Source organism: Homo sapiens, chromosome 21 (assembly GCF_000001405.40).
Source record: "Homo sapiens chromosome 21, GRCh38.p14 Primary Assembly".
NCBI lineage: Eukaryota > Metazoa > Chordata > Mammalia > Primates > Hominidae > Homo > Homo sapiens.
In genome coordinates, this window is record NC_000021.9 from 41185418 (window position 1) to 41209907 (window position 24490).

General features: G+C 46.4%; 1 protein-coding gene across 4 annotated transcripts in view, besides 2 other annotated features; it reads left to right on the forward strand.

Moving 5' to 3' along the window:
• Positions 1-24490, forward strand: part of BACE2 (beta-secretase 2) — a 114371-nt gene that overhangs the window by 17258 nt on the left and 72623 nt on the right. Inside the window, exon 1 of one of the 4 annotated variants that reach the window (XM_017028314.2) lies at positions 1604-1679. The exons of the other annotated variants lie outside the window; for them this stretch is intronic. The gene's annotated coding sequence lies outside the window, so the exon portion shown is untranslated. Of the gene's footprint in view, positions 1-1603; positions 1680-24490 lie in introns of those variants that run through there. 4 annotated transcript variants of the gene reach the window in all.
• Positions 15014-15514: an enhancer, noted in NCBI's record as "H3K4me1 hESC enhancer chr21:42572358-42572858 (GRCh37/hg19 assembly coordinates)". NCBI's record gives its function as "activates a minimal SCP1, AML or CMV promoter by ChIP-STARR-seq in primed H9 embryonic stem cells {active_cell/tissue: H9 hESC(primed)}" and the evidence as "EXISTENCE:reporter gene assay evidence [ECO:0000049][PMID:30033119]".
• Positions 15515-16015: an enhancer, noted in NCBI's record as "H3K4me1 hESC enhancer chr21:42572859-42573359 (GRCh37/hg19 assembly coordinates)". NCBI's record gives its function as "activates a minimal SCP1, AML or CMV promoter by ChIP-STARR-seq in naive H9 embryonic stem cells {active_cell/tissue: H9 hESC(naive)}" and the evidence as "EXISTENCE:reporter gene assay evidence [ECO:0000049][PMID:30033119]".

The following is a 24490-nucleotide window of genomic DNA, read 5'->3' on the forward strand; positions in this document are numbered from 1 at the left end:
GGCCACTTGTCTACCACTGTAGGTGGCTGACTGCCAGGCCAGGAGCCTGGGAGCTCCCAATTCCTTTGACCAAGAGCAGCTTAGGCAAGGGAGTTATAAGACAGTACACAGGAAGGAGCTTGCAATTGGCTATTAGGAAAATAATACTCCTAACTTCAGGGTGGAAAAAGACAAGACCAATATTCGCCTAGCGAAAGGGGTATAACCCACAATCCTAGAGGAAATGTCAGTGCTAAAAACCCCAGAGCATCTGGAGGGTGGCCTATAATACCGATGCTGAGAACCCAAAATGCCTGCGTTTCAGCCAACAAGGATGCCCTCGCCAAAGCAGCTGTGCACAGCAGTGCCAAAAACCCTGGGGTACCCAGTGGGCGGCCAACCCCGTGAACCCAAGACCAGGTTACAGAACATAGAACAACGTGACAACGTGACTCTGGTATCCCAGAGTCAACACAACAGGGGACCTCTCACAACCAAGTGTCCTGCCTTAAACAATTGCCCAAATACAATTAACAGAAAGTCGAAAGCAAACATAAGACTCCAAACAAGACATACATGTTAGGACTGAAAATGAAACCAAAGTGGAGCAATAAAATGGAGTCAGAGGAGAAAGAACCAGGTGAAGGGGTGGCAAGAATGTGCTTCAAGGCACCTAAACCGTGGGGAACTGACCGCTTAGCCAAAGGCTTTTATTTCCTAGCTTACCTGATATTACTGGGGGAGGGTGCAAAGGGGACTCTCACCCATCCACAGAAGACAAAATGGCACCAGCCAGTCTTCCACGTGGGACCCGGGTGCAGGTCTCTCTAGGTTCCCCAGCTTGGGGGTGCTCAGCTTCTGTGTCGGGGGCTGGCTCGTTAGAGCAGTGGGTCCCACACGAGGCAGCTGTACTATGGACACTTGGCTGTCCACTCAGTTTCACCACCTGCCAGGGAAAGATGATGGCTGTGAAAAGAGGCACTGGTTAGGGTTAGAGCTCGGTAGTGTTAGCAGCTCTTTATTGGTACTTCCTCAGTGTTACAGATCTTACATCCTCAATCACAGACTGCTTCACCGTCTCTTGCTGTCTTGCCAACTGCTGTCTCTTGTCTCTCACCAATTGCTGCCTCTCTGTCTCTGCTGTCTTGCCTCTCTGCCAATTGCCACCATCTCCGCTGTCCTTGTCCCTTTGCTGGTTGCCAGATGATGCAGGACAGGCAAGCCCCAAGACTGGGGCTTAGCCTGGGAGAGTTCTTGGATTTGCCCAAAGATTCAAGGGTGAGCTGGTGGTGTTAGGCAGCAGCTTTCATGGAAGCAGCTGTGCACAGCAGCGCCAGAGATGCCGCTCCTTGCAGATCAGGGCTGCTCCATAGGCTGTGTGCCCTGAGTAGCAGCTCAGAGGCAGTTCTGCAGTCATATTTATACCTACCTTTAACTATATGCAAATTAATGGGCGGTGTATGCAGATACTTCTAGGATGAGGGTGGTAACCTTAGGGCCATTGGGTCATTGCCATGGAAAGGGGTGGTAACTTCTGGGTGTTGCCATGGAAACGGTAAACCGACATGGCATGCTGGTGGGTGTGTCCTATGGAAAACTGCATCTGCCCTGACCTGTTTTAGCTAGTGCTCAGTTTGGTCCTATGTCCAAGCCTTGCCTCTGGAATCAAGTCCCGCCTCCTGCCTCACCAGGAGTCGCAGGTAAGAGTGTGTGTCATGGAGGAGGTTATAAATGTGGGCCACTGAGACCCACTCCCCACTGGGGAACTCTGAGAGGTGACATCAGATAGATTCAGCTGTGCTGACTAGGGGGCAAGGCAGCTGGGCCTTATCACTCCCTCCTGCCAACCGTGGGTGGAGGGCAGCTCACAGGGGGTTCACTCTTCAGCGTTTCTGGCTCAATAGCTGGCCAAAGAAGCCATCTGCAGAGAGTCACAGGTGCTTGCATTAGAGGCTGTAGAGTCAAGTGCCCAGGAAGGGTGTGGCTGGCAGTTTGCTGTGGCTACTGTGTGCCTAGAACAACCACTGTGTGCTAGAACCATGGCTGGCACAAGTTAGGATGATATTTGAGGAATGAAAGATCGAATATGTTCTACCACTGCACGTATTTGAGAGCATTATTTTGGCCCAGGAATCACAAAACAGAGTTTTAAAACTGTTCTTTAAAATCCTAACCTGCTAGCAGGCTCTAGACTCTAACTCATGAAAGCCTCTGTGAGTTTGGAGTGTGCCTGTCATTGCTGTGTAGTTCCTTGAACTTTTATTGGAAGGTGAAGATGTGATGTGTAGATACTGAGCAAGAGAAAATGGTTGGGGGGCAAAGGGTGATCGTGTTTGAGGTTATAAACAACCACAAAACCGCCTTTGAGAGTTGAGTGCTCTGAACGTTAAGAGCTTGCAAACCCTTTAGAATGGCTGGGCTTTGTATGGTTGACTGGCAGCACAACAAAGTTGCAAGCAAGTGTTAAATTCCTGACCCACTACCACTTCCATGTAATCCATCAGGAAGTTTACCAAAGTATAGCTCCCACAGCTTTTGTATATATAAGAATTTACTACGTAGTAGTTCCTTTATATTCTGTATAACGTCAGTTCTTAAGTACACACACATTTTAAAAGTACGTAATATTGTTATCATCCTTCCATTAGTCAATATACGTACATTTTGGTTTAACCCTGTAGTCCAGGGGCAACTTCTATGATCCCTCCTTCTTGCTTTTTGCACCCAAATAGGAGAGAAGGCAGTGTCATTCAGAATGGTCGGGCTGCAGGCACCTGTGGGCCGTGTTTATAGAGAGTGGAATCACTCTGTGCCCAGCAGAACCCACGTCTTCCCCTCCATGTCAGAGCTGGTGCTTCACTTGGGGCCTGCTCATCTCTGTATCCATGGACATATGCCTCATTGCCTGGGTTTATGAATCATGAGGCTAAGTAGAGAATTGAAAACAACTCCCAATATTTGTGTTCAGGCCTAGGGAGAGGCAGGGTGTTCCATGGTTGGCAGGCCTATGCAAACCACCCCAGAGTCCAAGGAAGCTGAGAGGCCGAAGAAGAGGCTGCCAAATCCAGTTTCTCAGAAAGAAATATTTAATAGGGACTTATGAATGGAAGTCATGCCTGTGTCTAGAGTGGTGGCAAGACGAGATGGTGGATTCCTACCCATCACCCCCCCAGACCCAGGGCTTACATACCATAGGGAAGGAATGTCTAGGGCAGTCGAAAAGGCAAGAATCCTATGTGAATCTGCCTAAGGGCAGGATTGCCTGAGCTAAGGGCAGGATTTACCAATAAGTACTTTCTCTTACATAAGGAACAATAGATAAGAGAAACCTTAGAAGCCTTCCAGGAACTGGGGTCAATCAGAAGTCAACATGGTGGTGGGAATCCAAGGATGGAGTTGCTTTAGCCTCTCCACAGGGTCCTGCTCAACTTCAACCTTAAGCCTCATGTTCCAAGCCAGTGTCAACAGGATTCTTCCTGGGGCCACTGGGTTTTAGCACAGCCAATGGCACATTGGTTACCGTGGTTCCTTAGCCCTGTAATTGCATCAGAGGCCTGCCCAGAAGACTGATTGGAGGCCAGCAGTCTCGCTCCTGTGGCCAGGCAGCATCTTCTTGTGTCCCTCGAGAGTTTTGAAGGTATTTTCACATTATCTTCCCGATGCTGTTGATAAGTCTGATGCAATTGTAATTCCTGATTCACTGTATATGAACTGTTTTCTTTCCCTCCAGAAACATGTGAAGTATTCTTGACCTGGTATTTGGAAATTTCTTGTTGATGTGTCTTAGTCTGGATCTTTAAAAAAAAAAAAAATGCTGGGCACTTGGTGAATCTTTTCAGTCTAGAAACTCATAACGTTCATGTCTGAGAAATTGTCTAGTAATTGCCTGTTCTCTCTTCTTGGACCTCCCATTATTCAGAAGTTGCACCTTCTAGTCTGGTCTCTCTGCTTCCCTTGTCTGTCTTTTTGGTTCTTCTCTCCATTTTCATTTCTGCCACCCACATTTTAGTTTTCAGGATCACTTTCTTTTTCTCTGAATGCTTCTGTTTTTGTTTGTTTTTCACCTTATTCCTGTTTCAAAGTTGCACATCTTCTTATATTTCTCTGAGAAAATTATGATTTTGCTTAACACTTGATTTCTGCTTCCTGCTTTTTATCTGTCTCCTCCAAGTTCCTTGTTTCAGTGTGTTTGTCATGGTCTTTGTGTCTCATGCTAGAGGCTTTCCTCACTATCTCATGATTATTGGCTGTCTGTTCATATTTAAAAGAGAAGCATTCAAATTTGATTGGAAGTTAAGGACTGTATGGAGACAAGGTATAGAAAATATTTTCATTGTTTTATTAGTCAGGGTTCTGTAGGGGAACAGAATAGGAGATAGATATAGATAATAGAGATAGAGACATAGACATATAGATAAAGGGGAGTTTATTAAGTATTAACTTACACAATCACAAGATCCCACAGTAGGCTGTCTGCAAGTTTGAGGGGCAAGGAGAGCCAGTCTGAGTCTCAAAACTGAAGAATTTGGAGTCCAGTGTTCAAGGGCAGGAAGCGTCCAGTACGGGAGAAAGATGTAGGCTGGGAAGCTAGGCCAGTCTCTCCTTTTCACATTTTTCTTCTGCTTTATATTCACTGGCAGCTGATTAGATGGTGCCCTCCAGATTAAGGGTGGGTCTGCCTTCCCCAGCCCACTGCCTCAAACGTTAATCTCTTTTGACAACACCCTCACAGACACACCCAGGATCAATACTTTGTATCCTTCAATCCAATCAAGTTGACACTCAGTATGAACCATCACAAGTCCACCCCTCGTCAACTTGAACCCATACACATCTGAGATCATACATAATCTTCAAATAAAGACAATAATAAGGTCATAATTATGCCTAACATATTACAACTATTCTTTGTACAACCTGAAACACACCAGTCTCCAACCCAAATACTATTACATAAAGTTAACAATACTTAAATGCTGATTTGAAGTCAGTAAATCTTATGTCACATGCTAAAGGAAAAAGGAAATAAAATCAAGATATTTTCTTAGTACAAGTATAAACATGCACAAACATGTTTTTAACAAAACAAGGAAAAAATACTCATGACAATTACAGTCCTCGTTTCTGCAGCTGGTCACGTGGTTGTAGCCGGTATTGATGACTGCCTTCTTCTACTACCCATTCTGTATTCCCTTTGCCTTCAGCAAACACCTTGGCAGGTTGTGATTTTTTTTTCCTGGTGGAGTGACCCAAACCTTCATTCCTGAAGGGTCTGGGCCATTTCTAGTCCTGCCTGGATTGGGCTGTTGTAGTTTCCCATTGATCTTAATCACAGGGCATGGTAATACTAAGAGATGCCCTAATGGATCTCCTGTATTCCATGAGTACTCTTCCTTACCTCCATTGTGGAGTAGTAGACTGATTTCATCTTGATAGTCTGGGTCAATCACCCCGGCCAACTGTAACTCCCATCTTAGCCTGTTGACTTAAAGGTAGGAGGAGCCCAAAGTGTCCAGGTGGCAATCTGAACTTACAGTTTAATGGGATTGTTGTTGTGTCTCCTGGTGGCAGTGTTCCTCCCTCTGGAACTAAGACCTCTAGACCAACAGAACTTAATGTCATGGGAACAGGCAGCAAAAATTTTGCTACTTAATCACTAGGGGTGATGGTGAGTGATGCCACTTCCACTTCCAACCCTTGATTCCTGGACCCGTGAATCCTGGCTATGGGAGAAACAGTACCATATATGGGACGCTGATTCAGAGCATACACGGCCTTCTGGAGAACTTTGTCCCAGGCATGCAAAGTATTGTCACCTAGTTGGCATTGTAATTGTGACTTTAAAAGGCCATTCCAACATTCTGTCAATCCAGCTGCTTCAGGATGATGGGGAGAACATGGTGAGACCAGTGCATTCCATGAGAATGAGCCCACTGTCACACTTCTTTAGCCATAAAGTGAGTGTCTTGGTCAGAGGCAATGCTGTGTGGAATACCATGACGGTGGATAATGTATTCCGTGAACCCACGGATGGTAGTCTTGGCAGAAGCATTGTGTGCAGGATAGGCAAACCCATATCCAGAGTAAGTGTCTATTCCAGTGGGAACAAACCTCTGCCCTTTCCATGATGGAAGAGTTCCAATATAATCAACCTGCTACCAGGTAGCTGGCTGATCACCCCTAGAAATGGTGCCATATTGAGGACTCGGTGTTGGTCTCTGTTGCTGGCAAACTGGGCACTCAGCAGTGGCCATAGCCAGGTCAGCCTTGGTGAGTGGAAGTCCATGTTGCTGAGCCCATGTGTAACCTCCATCCCTGCTACCATGGCCACTTTGTTCATGGACCCACTGGGTGATGACGGGGGTGGCTGGGGAAAGAGGCTGAGTGGTGTCCACAGAAAGGGTCATCCTATTCACTTGATTATTAAAATTCTCCTCTGGTGAGGTCCCCCGTTGGTGAGCACTCACATGGGATACAAATATCTTCACAATTTTTGACCACTCAGAGAGGTCCATCCACATCCCTCTTCCCCAAATTTCTTTGTCACCAATTTTCCAATCATGCTTCTTCCAATTCCCTGATGATCCAGCCAAACCATTGGCTACGGCCCATGAATCAGTGTATAATCACACAGCTGGCCATTTCTCCTTCCATGCAAAGTGCACAACCAGGTGCACTGCTCGAAGTTCTGCCCACTGGGAAGATTTCCCTTCACTGCTGTCCTTCATGGATGCCCTAGAAAGGGGCTGTAGTGCTGCAGCTGTCCACTTTCGGGTGGTGCCTGCATATCATGCAGAACCATCTGTGAACCAAGTCCTAGTCTTCTCTTCCTCTGTCAGCTGATCATAGGGAACTCCCCACGAAGCCATCAGTGCAGGCTAAGGGAGAGAAGGCAGGGTGGCAGGAGTGGAGACCAGGGCATTTGAACCACTTCCTCATGTAACTTACTTGTGCCTTCAGGATCTGCTCGAGCCCAATCACGTATATACCACTTCCATTTGATGATGGAATGCTGCTGTGCATGACCCACTTTATGGCTAGATGGGTCAGAAAGTACCCAGTTCATGATAGTTCAGGTCGCATGGTGACTTGAAACATTCAGTTTCCACCAAAGCCCAGTAACAGGCCAAGAGCTCTCTCTCAGAAGGAGAGTAGTTATCTGAAGAAGATGGCAGGGCCTTGCTCCAATATTCTAGAGGCCTCCACTGTGATTCACCTATGGAGGCCTGCCAACAGCTCCAATCAGCATCCCTATCTGCCACTGACACCTCAAGCACCATTGGATCTGCTGGGTCGTATGGCCCAAGTGGCCAAGCAGCTTGCACAGCAGCCTGGACCTGTTGCAGAGCCTTCTCCTGTTCTGGACTCCACTCAAAATTGGCAGCCTTTCGGCTCACTCGATAAATGGGCTGGAGTAACACACCCAAATGAGGAATGTGTTCCCTCCGAAATCCAGATAGGCATTGTGCTCTTTCTTGGTTGTAGGAGGGACTAAATGCAGCAACTTATCCTTCACCTTAGAAGGAATATCTTGACAAGCCCCACACCACTGGACCCCTAGAAATTTTACTGAGGTAGAAGGTCCCTGAATTTTAGTCATATTTATTTCCCATCTCCTGGCACATAAATGTCTCACCAATAAGTCCAGTGTGTTTGCTACTTCTTGCTCACTGGATCCAATCAGCATAATGTCATCAAACTAATGGACCAGTGTGATATCTCGTGGAAACGAAAAGCGATCAAGGTCTCTCCAAATAAGATTATGACATAAAGCCGGAGAGTTTACTGTCCTACCCCTGAGGTAGGACAGTAAAGGTGTATTGCCGGCCTTGCCAGCGGAAGGCAAATTGCTTCTGGTGGGCCTTATGGACAGGAATGGGGAAAAAGTCATTTGCCAAGTCAATGGCTGCATACCAGGTACCAGGAGGTGTGTTAATTTGCTCAAGCAATGAAACCACATCTGGTACAGCAGCTGCAATTGGAGTCACCACTTGGTTAAGCTTACAGTAACCCACTGTCATTCTCCAAGATCCGTCTGTCTTCTGCACAGGCCAGATGGGAGAGTTGAATGGGGATGTGGTGGGAATCACCACCCCTGCATCCTTCAAGTCCTTGATGGTGGCACTAATCTCCACAATCCCTTCAGGGATGTGATACTGTTTTTGATTTACTATTTTTCTAGGTAGAGGCAGCTCTAATGGCTTCCATTTGGCCTTTCTCACCATAATAGTCCACACCCTACCAGTCAGGGAGCCAGTGTGGGGGTTCTGCCTGCTACTAAGCATATCTATGCCAATTATGCATTCTGGCACTGGGAAAATGACCACAGGATGAGTCCGAGGACCCACTGGACCCACTGTAAGTTGGACCTGAGCTAAAACTCCTTTAAGTACCTGACTTCCGTAAGCCTCTACTTTACTGGAGGACCACAGTGACATTTTGGGTCCTCTGGAATTAACGTCAGCTCAGAGCCAGTGTCCAGTAGTCCCTGAAATGTCTGATCATCTCCCTTTCCCCAGTGCACAGTTACCCTGATAAAAGGCCAGAGGTCTCTTTGGGGAAGGATGGGAGAAAGATTCACTGCATACATTGTCGGTAATGTAGTGGGGTCCTTCCTCAAGGGGACCCGACCTCCCCTTCATTCAAGGGGTTCTGGGTCTGTAAACTAGCTCAAGTCTGGAAATTGATTGAAGAGCCATGATTCTCTGTTTTTATAATTCAAATTAGTGTTTTGGCCATTTGACCTAGAAGTTTTCTGCTTGTATAAATTAAGTAGGAATGCAGTGGGCTTCCTATCAATTTCACTTCTAGGAACACCATGATTAATTAACCAATGCCGGAGCTCTACACGAGCCAGACTGTTCTGATTGCTGCTTTGCCTCTGCTGTCCATTAGGGTAGCTGTGCCCACCTGACCTTATCATATCTAGTTTTTGAAACATGGCAGGGAAAATGATTCCACGTAACCTGACCATATCAGCTGGGTGACTGAATAAAACACCTTCTCAGCTCGCTTTCCTCTGGCCTGAAGCTTTTTGCTGTAGCTGCTTTTGCAACAAAGGACACAGTTGTAGGCAGTGGATCCTAAATGGAGGTTTCCTGGGGGACTTTAGGGAAAGCTTATATTTTCCTGATAAAACTGTCAAGTGTGGCCAAGATAATACTTCCCCGTTTTCTGACTTTAATGAAAATACAAGGCCCTCAACAGAGATAGCTGACTTCTGACTTTGGGAGAGAGGTCAGGGAACAGCAGTGATGCTGTCGCTGATGTTTTTGAGCTATTGGTCTGATATCACTAGAGGCTTCCTTTACATATTTGAGCCATCCTAAATCTATAATTTTCTGTTTACTTGTAGCCAAAAATATTCTAAATGTTTCACCCTCATACTTTTTGAGAAAAAAAAATAGCTTAATAATAATAAAGTACCTTAAGGCAATTTGCCATTCTTTTCCTTTCTTCAAAATCAGCAAAGCATGGCAGGACACATCTGAAAGTCTGTTTACTGTTGTTTTTGTTGATGTTATTGGCAGGCAGGGCACTTATTTCCAGCAGGGAAGAAGCGGACCCAGTTAAAGGGATCTAGACTCTGGTCGTCAGGAACGGGTCAAGGCCTTCACCATGAGAAGAGCACCAAAGGGAGTTAATATGGGGTTGACCAGAGGTAGGCAAAGGAAGGCCTGTGGGCCAAATCTGGCCAGCTACCTGTTTTTATAAATAAAGTTTTATTGGAACACAACCATGCTGGGGTTTGTTTCATATTTCCTGAGGCTGTTTTCACACTGCAATGGCAGAGGTGAGTGGTTGACACAGATGCCGTCTCACCAAAGCCTATGATATTTACTGTCTGGCCCTATACAGAAAAAGCTTGCTGACCTCTGGGTTAGACTGTCAGGTGGTAGAGACTAAGGAGGGAGTGATAAGTCCCTGTTGGCCACCTGAGGTTTTGTCTGTGTCAGGAAGCTGCAGATGGGAGATGTCCAGGCAGTGGCTCAGAAGAACCCATGGAGGACCCATTAGGGGAAGGGTTGGTATGTGGACACCAGCCACGCCCAGGGTGAACCAGCTGTGCAGTCAAATACAGAACTTCCCGTCCCTTACACCTCCATTCTCTGTGTTTCAATTTTAGTGAAGTCAGCCACACCCAGAGTGAACCAACCGTGCAGTCAAATACAAAACTTCCTGCCCCTCACACCTCCATTCTCCCTGTTTCAATCCTGGTGAGGTCAGAGGCACAGTCATGAGCAAGGTGGGGAAACAGCAGTAAATCCAACCACAACACCTCTCCTCCCCGACTATAGACCGCCAAGCCTAAAGCAGGCCCGTCACGTTGGATGCCAGATAGAAACTTTGATATGAGATAGGACTGGACTCAAAATGCCTAAAATCAAATGTATGACCACAAAGCTTTTCGAAAAATGTAGACTTTGTCCAAGATAGCATTCAAGGGTTGAGAAGTATAACTTACATGGCTTGTTAGAAAGCAGTTGTATGGCAAGAGAGGGTTCTATTAAAATGTTATTCCATCATATAATTTCTATGGAGAGGAATTTGGAAATGGCTAGCAAAATTACATACATTTATCCTTTGACTCAGAAATCCACTTCTGGGCTGGGCACAGTGGCTCATGCCTGTAATCCCAGTACTTTGGGTGGCTGAGGCAGGCAGATCACTTGAGGTCAGGAGTTTGAGACCAGCCTGGCCAACATGGTGAAACCCCGTCTTTACTAAAAAAAATAAAAATAAAAATAAAAATTAGCCAGGCATGGTGGTCCATGCCTGTAGTCCCAGCTGCTTGGGAGGCTGAGGCATGAGAATTGCTTGAACCTGGGAGGCAGAGGTTTCAGTGAGCCGAGATTGCACCAATGCACTCCAGCCTGGGTGACAGAATGAGACTCTATCTCAAAACAAAAAACAAAACCAAAAAAAAAAAAAGAGAGAGAGAGAGAAATCCAATTCTGGAAGTCTATACAAACATTACACTGGGGAAAAATATGAAAAGCAATTCACAAGGCTATTCACCGTGGCACGACTGTCATAGCAAATGATTAGAAATAACCCACGTGTGCCTCAAAAGGGGACTGGTTGATTAAACTATGGTAAATCTACACCATCGAACATGATATAAATGATTGAGAATATCTTTAGATACTGCAAGTGAGAATAGCAAGGTAGAGAAAAGAGGATAGATGTGTACCACTGTTCACCTAAGAAGGTAGCATATGGCACATGGAGGTGTCTTTCCCAAGAAACTTCCCAGGACAAAGGTCTCCAAAGTTAGAGGATGCAGGAAGAAATTAGAATGTCTGAATTTGTTTTGCCTAAAGCAATAAAGAATTTGGCTTTGGTAAGTTGTGATAAACACAGGTAACCTCGTTTGGTTCACCTGCCGGGTGTCCTGGTCTTCGTTGACGGTGACACACTGCAGAGGTCTGGGGTCTAGGGATCGCTGATTCTGCAGCTCAGTGAGCACAACTGGTGCTTCCTCGAATGTTCTTTTGCTTGCACCCTGCTGGTGGCTTCGGTTTCCAGGATTTTGTATGGCATCAGTCTGGTTTGTCTTTTATTTTATTTTATCTTATTTTTTGAGACAGGGTCTCACTCTGTCACTCAGGCTGAGTGCCATGGCACAGTTACTGCTCACCGCAGGTTCAGCCTCTCAGACCCAAGGCATCCTCCCACCTCAGCCTCCCGAGTAGCTGGGACCACAGGTGCATGCCACCACACCCAACTCGTTTTTAGTTTTTTGTAGGGATGGGGTCTCACTATGTTGCCCAGGCTGGTCTCAAACTTCAGAGCTTAAGGATCCTCCCACCTTCGCCTCCCGAAGTGCTGTGATTACAGGGATGAGTCACTGCACCCAGCCAGCCAGGTTTTTTTTGTTTTTTTTTTTTTTTAAAGAAATACAGTCTCTAAAGATGAGTTACATGATTTTATTTCTCAGAAAGTCACAGTTCCAGATTTGCTGACATTTATGGTGTTAGCAAGTGACTGGCAGTGGTATGGTACTTAGTAGATATTGAAAAAAATAAACACAAAACAGGTCCCTTTAAGATGATATTTTAATGCTAAGTGAGAAGCGTAACATCTCCTGCTGTGGAGAGGTCTTCTGAGGATGATAGCTGTACATGTTTACATCATTAGTTGATTTCTACTACCAAAATGGAGTAAGTTGGCTACCTATAAAACACTTTTGAACCCTTAACTTGGAGACAGAATTTCCTACCTATGTAAAAATCTTCCAAATAATTTTGCTTGTGTTAAAAAAAAAAAATGGAAATAAGCCGTACCTTCCGGTTAGTTTGCTAGTTACTGATTGACATTAGGAAATATGCAAGTTGACTATTCCTAATCTCCATTTTACAAATGAGGAAACTGAAGCACAGATCAGCTATATGGCTGAGGTAACATCATTCATGAGGGCAGAGCCAGGATTTGAAAGCAGGTTGGCTGGTCCCCCACTGTGTGCCCTGAACCAGTGTACTAAGCTGCCTCTTGTGTGTTTTATAAATTTCAAAATGTATGTGATGTACAAAGGGAGGATATGCATAAGGGGTAGATATATACACACATAGAAGTTAAATACTCAAAAATATTTATTTTTATTTTTATTTTTGAGACAGAGTCTTACTCTGTGGCCCAGGCTGGAGTGCAGTGGTGCAATCTCGGCTCACTGCAGCCTCTGCCTCCTGGGTTCAAGCAATTCTCGTGCCTCAGCCCCCCAAGTAGCTGGAAATACAGGCACGCCCCACCACACCCAGCTGATGTTTGTATTTTTAGTAGAGGAGGGTTTTGTCATGTTGGCCAGGCTGGTCTTGAGCTCTTGGCCTCAAGTGATCTGCCCACCTCGGCCTCTCAAAGTGCTGGGATTACAGGTGTAAACCACTGTGCCCAGCCCCCAAAATATATATTTTTTGATGGGCTAGTTTATCCCCAAATTTTCAAAGTCACTTGTCACTGAGAATTCTGAAGCCTTGCGGGGAATGATGGGCCTCGTCTGATTCAAGAGAAATTGCCTGTTTCTGAGTTGAGTCGTAGTGTATCTGGGTACTCAGGCTAGATCCTAGAATATCACAGATGCTCAGGAGCGATGCATTCACCTGTCTGTTCCTGCCAGGGCTTTCCAGCTGCCTTCTTTAATAAGCTCCTCTACCAAAGCAGTTCCAGATAGAATTGAACAATCTTTTTAAAGCATAAATATCAGCTTCCAACAGGGGTCTCCATGCAGTCTCTACTCTACGGGTGGCGTATTTGACTCCTCTTTCCAGCTGGCTGGTGTGAACACACCCACTCGAGTTTCAGCACCACTGCCCTTTTTTTTGTTTTGTTTTGTTTTTTGTTTTTAATTTTAGTATGAGTACTGCTAGCAAAAACAGACTGCTTCTGGAGCTTCAACCGAATAACCATCACCCTTCTAGGCAACTTGGGTGATGTGTTGGTGGATCTCTGTACGCTTTTTATTTATTTATTTATTTATTTATTTATTTATTTATTATACTTTAAGTTCTAGGGTACATGTGTACAATGTGCAGGTTTGTTACATATGTATACATGTGACATGCTGGTGTGCTGCACCCATTAACTCGTCATTTACATTAGGTATATCTCCTAAAGCTATCCCTCCCCCCTCCCCCCACCCCACGACAGGCCCCCATGTGTGATGTTCCCCTTCCTGTGTCCAAGTGTTCTCATTGCTCACTTCCCACCTATGAGTGAGAACGTGCGGTGTTTGGTTTTCTGTCCTTGCGACAGTTTGCTCAGAATGATGGTTCACCGCCTTCTTTTTTAACAGGAACCCTCTCAGAGGTCAAGGTGCTGCCCAGCGTCTGCTCCTCTTTCCCCTTTCCTCCTTGTGGTGCCGGGGAGGAGCTGGCTGCCGGAGTCCCTTCCTCATCTTCCTCCACCTGCGCCTTCCTACCCTCCCTCCCTGCCTCCTTCTGGAGGGAGCCCCAGGGAGGAGGGGAAGGCTGGCGAGGAGGAAGAACTGAGCTCTGCTGGCAGCTGCTCGGGGGTCTGCAAGATGCTGAGGATGCTGCAGGGGGTGGCAGTGGGGCTCTGCCCAGCACCTGGACGGAAGTGTCTTGTCTGGGTGCCCCGGGGAAAGTAGTACCACCCAGTGTCCAAGGAGTGGTTGGTTGCCCAAGGAGTAGGGCATTTTCCTGAGACAGCTTCCTTCTGTCCTGTGCTAGGGAGGCGAGCTTCCTAGAGTGGTTCAGGCTTCCTTTTCTTAATTCAGCTCAGAAGGGCAAGAGAAAAGCCAGTGCATGGATCCCACTCACGCTTCCTACTTGTTCTAGCCGGGCTTCGATTCCCTCCGCACTTCTAGCTTCTGAAAGCAGAGCCTCTCCCAGCCCCAGCTCTCACTGGCAGGCAAGGTGGTGTGTGCCCTGCCCCTCAGGCCAGGGGCGGGGATGGCTGCCGTTGTTGTAGGTCCCTTGTGCCCCGCTCACACCTCCAAAAATAGCCCTTCCATCATAACCTCTTCTTCCCACCTATGAGTGAGAACATGCGGTGTTTGGTTTTTTGTCCTTGCGACAGTTTGCTGAGAATGATGGTTTCCAGTTTTATCCATGTCCCTACAAAGGACATGAACAATGAGAACACATGGGCACAGGAAGGGGAACATCACACACCAGGGCCTGTTGTGGGGTGGGGGGAGGGGGGAGGAATAGCATTAGGAGATATAACTAATGTCAAATGATGAGTTGATGGGTGCAGCACACCAACATGGCACATGTATACATATGTAACAAACCTGCACATTGTGCACATGTACCCTAAAACTTCAAGTATAATTAAAAAAAAAAACAAAAAAAAAACCCAAAACCTCTTCTTGGGAGCTCTGGAGTAGAATTCTCTTTCTGGCTGGACTCTGATAAATACAGCTGGTGACCATTATTTCAGAATGAAATTTCGTTTAGTTTATGAGTCTGTCCAAATATTTCGATCATTTAAATTCAGATGTTAGTTTACCTCGGTTTGTGGAGAATGGACTGGGCTGTAGAAACTTAGAAGCCAAGCGAATGTGGACTCCGCTGTCTTCATTGCTGTCTTGTTACTATGGATGTCGGATTAGGTGCACCCGTGAGGTCTTGGATTGTAACCCCATGTTCTGCAGGTCTCAGGACCTCTTCCCTGCACTGTGCTAGCCCGGCCCCCTGTGATGGACTGAATTGTGTCCCTCAAATTTATACGTTGAAGTCCAAACCTCCAGTACTTCAAAATATGACTATCTTTGGAGATGGGGCCTTAAAAGAGGTCATGAAGTTAAAATGTGGCCATGAGGGTGGGCCCTGATCCAGTCTGACAAGTGTCCTTATATAGGACATGCAGAGAGACACCAGGGATGTGCGCAGAGGGACCGCCATGTGAAGAAGCAGCAAGAGGAGCAAGAGGACGGCCATCTGCAAGCCAAGGGGGAAGCCACCTGCCCACACCTTGATCTGAGACTTCCGGCCTCCACAACCGTGAGAAGATACGTGTCCGTTGTTTAAGCTGCCCAGTCTGCGGTGCTTTGTTCTGGCAGCCTGCACTGACTCACAAACCCACTTCTGACCTAGGCCCTGACTGGGTTCAAGCATACACAGCCTGGCCAGCTCAGCCACTGTCCGCATTCACAGCCTCCTGCAGCTTCCACTGCTCAGGCATCCTGATCCTAGCCTTCTTAGTTGGCCATTGCTCACCAGACCATTTTATATGGGCAGGAATGAGGAGACAAGGAGGCCCTCAGGGACACAGTTGCCCCTCTGCTGTCTTACCCTACCTGTCTTATCCTCTGGACCATGCAAAATGTTTATCTTACGCAGTCTTTTGTTCTTTGGTAAATGCATATAACAGACACATACTTAGTATCCATGATGTCCCAGCAGCCCCGCAGCTCTGATCGTAGTAGAGGTGGTTTAAAGAGAAATGCATTAAGTAGAGTTGAGTTTGTTTTTCACAAATCAAGACACATCCCACTTGGGGCAAAGTCGTGACATTCAGGTGAACCTGAAAGTTATAGCTTCTTTTATAGCCAGTTATCCAAGGGCTGAAGCCATCGAGCTGCCTGCCTTCTGAGCACTTGAAACAAAAAGGATTGGAATGTTTGGTACAAAACCCAGCACTTAAAACCTATGAGGCTTTCAGCTGTGACTCTTACTGTCTCGCCTCCATCTGGGAAGTTCATTGATCTTCAAAACCTGGCAGGCTCCTCAGGGGAGAGAAGGTTTAAGATGGAGCAGCCAGCTCAAATCCCTATTAGGTCCAAGAGCCAAGAGGCGCAACGCACAGCTAGTTGGGAACATATGAACACCCTCCCAAAAAGCTGCAAGACTGTTGTGCGTGTAAATCTAAGTGAGGAAATTATGTGGTGAAATGGGTTTTTTCAAAGTTTGCACTTAGGCCCTTTTCCGAAGAAAATCTGTGTTGACAGTGGAGGGAGATAATGTTTGAGTTAATTGATGAGGGTTTTAAGCAGTAATCAATATTTCCCAAACTAGCAAACCCAGCATGTTTTAGGGTCATTTTCAATGATTAAAATTAAAATTTGGTTGTTTCAAAACTTTGGTTGAATGCTAACCACTGGAGGCCTGGTGTTGGATGAACAGAGCATACTGGGATGCTAAAAAATATTAAGTGCAAATCCCATCTTTGTCTGAAATTGGTTTTTGTATAATTCCTGTTTTAGGAAATTGTGAAATCATGTAAGACAGTTTTCACTATAAATTATTTTCAAAAGTCTTTGTGCTAAATGATCAGGCATGACCGTAGTGAGCTGTTTGTTATTTGTTATGGTTAATGCTTAGTTGCCATGTGCGGAAACTGACGGTTAGATGTTTGATTAGGGGATTGTTGAAGGTGGTGTGAGGGCTGGATATTGACCCCAGATGAGTTTTTGAGATGCTACCATGATGAGGAAGGAGCAGGAAATCATATCACACGACCAATGCTTGGAGGATTTCGAGGGGGTATGCAGCCCACCCACCTCCACCCCAGAGGGATGCCATGGGTCCTAGGCAGGAAACATTCTACACTCAACAAGCTGCCAGCCAGGTGGAAGAGGGCATTATTGCAGAGGACAGGCTTGAGTCTGCTGGAAAGCAGTAGGGGATGGGAAGTATTCAGCCAACTGGACGTTTCCTGGGGACAGGCACCAAGTCCCTTTCACTAGCTGTTTATTTCTGGATAGGCCATCGCTCCTGGCACTGGTCAGACCCTCAACAAATGCTATGGAATTAAACTGGAAAAGGGAGAACGTGGTGAAAAATATGCCCTAACATTGTAACAAGTCATAAGGTAATGCACTTCCCATCACTGAAAAACCCAGCAGAAACACTGTCACCTCTGCATGCTGATAGACAGCAGTGCGGTCACTGAGAGACGGGACCAATCGGTGCTCCCCAGACCTGGCTGATCAGCAGTTACATGGGGACCTGGTTAAACATATGGATTCCAGGCACCATTCTCTGGGCTGGAGATGTATATATTTTTTAAGTGTCTGAGGTGATTCCAGTGATCAGGCAGGACAAAATGATGACCCCCCAAGATTTTCATGTTTCTTCATAAAATCTAGTGCAGTGACTGAGTCTGGTTATTGTTTTGGTGGAGAAGTTACTGTAATCCACATGTGACTGCAAACGTTTGGCAAATCGATATTTCATGGACACGTGATACTTGTCTGGTCCTGTCCTAGGCACTGAGCATCCAGTAGGTGCAACAGTCACCAAAAATCCTGCCTTCTTGGAGCTTACTCTTTCATGAAAGGGACAGGCAGGACAACATGTTGTAGGCATGGTGATAGAGACTATGAAAGGATGGTGACAGATGCTATGAAGAACATTACCACACGGGCAAAGGAATATCAGCGGTAGGGAAGTGTCACAAGTTCATAATTATCATGGCCAGGGAAGGCATCTTCAATGAGGGAGCTCTGGAGCAGAGACCTGAAAAAGGAGGGGTGGGAGAGCAAGGTGCTTGGGGAAGGGTGTCCAGGCAGAAGGAAGAGCCAGTACGACGGCCTTGAGGAGGAGCTGTGCTTGTGTGCTGGAGGAACCCAAGGCGGCCTGTGGTGGAGCCTGGTAGGTGAGCTGTGGGGAGGAAGGCTTGAGGAAGGTGGGGGAGTGCTATTGTTGAGAGTTGCCTGGCTGCGAGGGTGAATGAGGAGTGTGGTTTTGGAAACGCCAAATGGAGATGCCATTCCTAATACCCATGGGGAGAGCACCTGCAGCAGCTGATCATGCCTCTGGGCCCAGAGACACCTGAATTTTGAGAGTGTGCTACACAGAGGTAGCATTCATGTGCTCCCATGGACTGAGCCTGGGGAGAGGAGGTGAGGTCCCAGCACAGGCGCTGGGACACCCCAAAACTTAGAGGTGGGGAAGGTGAGGAAGGGTCAGTAAAGGGCCCCAAGGAGGAGGAGCCTGGTGAGGCAAGATACCTGAAGACGGGGATGGGTCAGGGAGGAAAGGAGTTTTGAAAGACGTCAAACCCCTCAGCAGGTCAGCCGTGGCTGGAGAGGACATTGCTACAGAGAGAAGAGCTGTTTTTGGGGGGTGGTGGCCCCAAGCGAGAAAGGGAGGAGAGGACCTGGAGCCTGTGAGCTCACTCAGCTATTTCAAGGGGATTTACTGTGGAGGAGAACAGAGAGATAGGGCTGTGGTTGGAGGACAATGTGGGGTGAAGCCCAGGCTGGAGTGCAGTGGTGCAGTCTTGGCTCACTGTAGCCTCCGCCTCCCGGGTTCAAGCAATTCTCCTGCTTCAGCCTCCCGAGTAGCTGGAATTACAGGCACTCACCATCATGCCCGGCTAATTTTTGTTTTTGTTTTTGTTTTGTTTTTTGTTTTTTTAGTAGAGACAGGGTTTCAACATGTTGGCCAGGCTAGCCTTGAACTCCTGACCTCAGGTGATCTGGCCACCTCGGCCCCCCAAAATGCAGGGATTACAGGCATGAGCCACTGCGCCCGGCCAAGAGTTGGCATTTTCTTTCTCAAGATGGGAGATATGATGTCCCATGTATAATAAGCGGGAGTGATCCTGGGAGAGGGGGAAAAACTGATGATGCAGAAGAAAGGGAATTAGGGGCATGCTGTCCTGAGTGGGCACTGAGTGGGGTGGTCCAGTGCCCACGGAGAGGGGCTGGAGCTAGGACCATGGGTGGTACCTGTCTCCACTGCTGCTCCAGCAAACATATTTAACACTCACGTTCAAGGGCTGTCACACGTATGTTGAAGACTTTGCCAAGGTTAATATGTTGCAATTTTTTTCTCCAAGTCTTCTTCATTTTTCCTGTCTCTAGAATGTTCTGAAAGATTTCTTTATGACTTTTCTATACCATAATTAAAGCAAACGTCTGTATTTTGCTGGCCATAGAAGCCAAAGAGGGATGCATCTGTCATTTCTCTTCTGGGTTAGCATTCTTTCAAAATATCTGGACACCATAAAAATGTAGAGGTCAGTCAATAGAGATTTAATGCTTTCTTGTGAGAAATTCCCTTGGAAGGGCTTTAAGAAAGTCTTTTTAGAAGAGAATAATATCTTTGATCACTATATGCCTATTAAAATACTTTTTTTTTCTTGTGGGTTTACCATGGAAAAAAACATCAAAGCCTTATATGAGCCACATAGAAATAGCCTGTTTCTTAAATGGCTGGCCTGAAATTAGCGAAGGGTAGCAAATTGAACACAATGGTTTTTCTGTGTTGCGCATTCAGTTTGGGCTGATCAGATCCCATGCAAAAAGATTACTGTAAAACGAAGATGAAATTTTAGATTTTAAGAAGATTTCATTGTAAAGCTAGGTCACAGCATTCCACATTCAGGTGAGTACTAGGATTTGTAGATTATCAGTCATTATCATTAACATACTCACATACAATTGTCATTGTTGCTAAGAAGTGTTTGCACCTTTTCAACACTTAGAAATTAAGTCACATTTTCTGCTTTCAAAGCCCTTAACCTTAATCAATATTTTATAATGTGTTTTCATAGATGAGATACATTTGAGTTACCCCAGTTATAAGATGGTTACTCCTTGCAATTATTCTAGATATGAAGATTCATTTGGCTAAAATGTGGTAAAATTGCAAGGCCATTCAGCAGGTCAGTTTTAAATACAATATGATTATTATTCCGTCATCTTTGTGCGTGATTGAAAATAACAGATTGTGTGGTTGGCAATTCGCTTCCCCATTAGAAAATTTACCTTCCTACTTCTGTTGTGTCTTACATAGTATAATTATTCTGTTGCCTTGAAAAATATTATAATAAACAGAAGGGCTAATTTTTTTAAGCGTGTTGGGTGGCCGAGGAGAAATGAAATTTTGAGTGGAAAACCTCACATGAATTGTCTGTAGTTGCTTGTACTTCATCCCTCACCAGTGCAAAAGCCAATTCCACAGGAATTGAAAACTGTTATGAAAGAGAAGCCTGGTCTTCCGTCTTAACATCGGGTCATGAATTCAATGGGGAACACTGTATCTTCTTCATCTCTATGACTCAGGCACATAGTAGCTGCTCACTTAATATTTATTAGAAATAAATATTTACTGAAAAAATGAATCTCCCCCAAAGAACTGAAAGCAGGGTCTTGAAGAGATAGTCACACACCTGTGTTCACAGCAGCATCATTCACAATAGCAAAAGGTGGAAACAACACAAGTGTCTGTGGACAGTTGAATGGATAAACAAAATTCTGGTCTATACTTATGTTTTAGTTTGGGCTGCCCTAACAAAGTACCCTAGACTGAGTGGCTTATAAATAATGTCAATGTATTTCTCTTAGTTCTGGAGACTGGAAACCCAAGGTCCAGGTGCCAGCATGGTCAGGGTCCAACGAGGGCCACCTTCTGGGCTGCAGACTGCCTGCTCTTCATTGCATCTTCAGATGGCAGAAAGAGGGTGAGAGCTCCTCCGTCCTTTTTATAAGGGCACTAATCCCATCCATGAGGCTCCATCCTCATGACCTAATCACCTCCCAAAGGCCCTGCCTCCTAATAGCACCACCTTGGGGATTAGGATTGCAACAAAAGGCAGGGGATACAAACAATCAGGTCATAACAGCATATAATGGAATATTATTCAGCCTTAAAAAGGAAGACGGTTCTGGCACATGCTATAACATGGATGAACCTTGAAGACCTTATGCTATGTGATAGAAGACTGTTACAAAAGGACAAGCACTGGATGATTCCATTTATGTGAGGTTCCTGGAGAAGGCAAATTCATAGAGACAGAAACATTAAGGGTGGTGTCCGCAGGAATGGAGAGTGAGGAGTTGTTTAATGGGTAACGGGTTTCAGTTTTGTAAAATGAAGTGAGTTCCTCAGGTGGGTGATGATGATGGTTACACAACAATGTGAATGTACTTAACGCCATTGAACTTCACCTTTAGAAAGAACTAAGATGGTAAATTTTAAGTTATGTGTATTTACCACATTTTAGAAAAAATGAATGTTAATATCTAGAATAATTGCAAGGAGTAATCATCTTATAAATTGCAGTAACTTAAAAGTCTTGCCTGATGCTGCAGCAGGCGTATATGCCTTATCTCTTTCTTTTTTTATGTTTATTTAAAATTGTGACAAAATTTGAATGTTGGTAACTAGGGTAAAGTTAACGATGTTCTTTTTCTGTAAGTTCAGGTTTGGAGTGGGTCTTCAATTGCTGTCATCAACTCTTGAGCAAAAGAGAACATTTAGTGAAACTCCAGAAACATCTTGAGAACTAAGACATTACACCTTTGATAAGAATTTATTCACACTTCTTTAGAAAATGTGCAGGAAGAACTAATTTGTAGGTAAAATGACATGTCCTAAAATTTTGGGAAATGCATAATGGGTTCTTAGGGGTTCTTTCGGAGTGGCTTTAGTTGTCGCTTGGGAAAGGAAGAAGCTAATTAGCCCTGTTAATAGAAATGTTATTCTACTTATCCCCCTCCCCAACTATCATCAAAGTATGAAGGTCAGAGCTCTTTTGTCCTTTTTAATAGTTTGTTTTCTTAAAAGTGGTTGAGTGTGAATTTTCTCTTGCATGGGAAAAGGATCATTGTTTTCACTGGCATCAGTGAATGCGCTCACACATGACTGTTTAAATATGTCTTCATTCGTTAGTCAGTAGGATCGCATCCTGCTGGAAGACAGATTGTGTAACCTCAGAGGCTTCCAGGGAAACTCCAGTCCCAGGGAGAGAGTGGGACAGTGGCATGCTCTATAGAGAAAGCACTCCTTGTTCTCTCTCTCTGCCTCCCCAACCCCGCCCCACTGATCTCCCTCCTGGTGCAGGAGGGACTGTTGGAGCAGAAGAAAACATCCAGCTCACCTGTCACTGAATAGCCCCTGTTGCAAAGGAACACAGGCTCTCTGGCCTCCAGCCCACATCTGCGGAAGCTTGGTTGGAGTGAGGCTGCTTACGGCTGCTCCCCTTTCAGTCCATGTTTGGTTTCTGCATCCAAGAGGCAGAGTGAGAATCAGACCCTGGTCGGGGGTGATCCCTGAAGGCAACGCAGTCATATGCAGTCTCTTGGCAAGCAGCCAGTGCTCTCAGCTGGGACACCCTGTCTTCAGGCATGCTGCTCTGTGGCCCCGCTTACAATGGTGACGTTGCCTGATTCTGGCCCTGGTTCTGCCTATCACTGGCCAGACAGCCCTAAACCAAGCTCATACCGCTAGGGCCTTAGGAAGGGAGAGGAATGCAGGCAAAAGTCGTCTCCCATACACAGCCACCTAAGGAGGAACAGAGCCTTAGGATGTTAAGTGGAACAAACCAAGTCACGACCCACATGTAAGAATGTGACCAAGAGCGAGAAAACCCACAGACACACCTTTCTAAGGGTGGTGGCCTACAGGATTAGTTTCTCTTTCTCTTCCAAGTGACTGCTCTCCCCACACCTTGGCCTCCACCAGAGGGGAATGTGGGCAGTGCACGCAGGACCGCACGGTGTCTTCTGCAGGGGTGAAAACAGTATTTGAAGCCCCTGTGACTGCAGGTGCCTGCACCTTCTGGGGGTGGGAGAGGGCATGAAATCCTATCAGCAGGAAAGTCCATCCTTGCTGCTCTGCTCCACTCGCCCAAGCCGGGCTGGGAAGAGAGGAGAGAGGACTTCAGAGGTACCCAGGCTATTCCCAGGGGGAGGCCTGTGTGGTCCCCGTTTGTTCGGAGATGATAAGGAGTCCATTCGAGGGAGGAGCTGCCTTCTGAACATGGGAGTGGCTGACACTACCTCTGAGGGTTTCAGTGCCTCTCCCGTGTCCAGAATTCTTCTGATTCTGATGCAGGGGGCAGGATGGCAGGGGTACAGGGTAAGGGTATGAGGGCTCAGGGGCTGCTGAGGATGGGGGTGTTTGTTTTGTTTTAGTTCCTGCCACCCCACCCTGCCCTCTGCTCCCCATCTCTGCCTGGGTCACCCATCACTGAAAGATGTCAGTTGCACACCAAGGTGGCTACCAGAGGGAGAAAAACAGCCCCTAGGGGTAGGGAAGGTGGGAGTTCCGTGGAGGCAGCACCTGGATCAGGAGAGCTGGGCAGCCAGGGGCAGAACAACCACCTGCCAGGGTGGGATTAAAAAGCAGGCATCCTCACCATAGCCTAGGATACCTTTGGATTGGAGCATTCCCAGCTGGAACGTTGCCCTCTTGCAGCCACGTACAGGTGGTGCTGACACTCAGGCCGCTCCCAAACGTTCTGTCGTGCGGTTATGTCCACCCTGGGTTGCAGCCCATGTGCACCCTGGGAGGACTGCTGAACACACCGCCAGGCCATGGAGATTGTGCACACCACTGCCGGTCTGTGTCCAGACTAGCAGCAATAAGGATTCTGATTCTGATTAAAGCCCCTGTGACTGCAGGTGCCTGCGCCTTCTGGGGGTGGGAGAGGGCGTGAAATCCTATCAGCAGGAAAGTCCATCCTTGCTGCTTCCCTCCACTCGCCCGAGCCGGGCTGGGAAGAGAGGGAACAGAGGTGCCCAGGCTGTTCCCAGGGGGAGGCCTGTGTGGTCCCCGTTTGTTCGGAGATGATAAGGAGTCCATCTGAGGGAGGAGCTGCCTTCTGGACATGGGAGTGTGGCTGACACTACCTCTGCGGGTTTCAGTGCAGAGATAAGGAATGCCAGTCTGGTGGATAATTTGATGCGTGCCTTTTTCTGCAGAGTGATGTATTTGAGAAACAGCCCTGTAACGAGAAAAAGCCGCACTACCCCTCTTTAAGTTCAAACACCACTGTGCCAGGTGCTTTTATAGAGGCAGGACAAGGCACGATGCTCAGAGCAACACTCTTTATTAACCCAGGGTACAGACAAGGGGGCTGAGGCTCAGAGAGGGTGGCAACCCTCAGATTCTGCAGCGAACAAGAGGTTGAGCTGGGGTTAGAATCTCGGTCCAGCACACCCTGAAGTCACTATCCTTTCCTGCATGGAGAAGACACAGGTGTATCCTGGGACCATGGCTAGGAAATGAATGTGAAACTCGCATCCTGTGAATGTTATGAAAGGACATAGTTCCCAATATGTTTAAGGGCGTTGGCTATGGGTTTGGGATGAAAC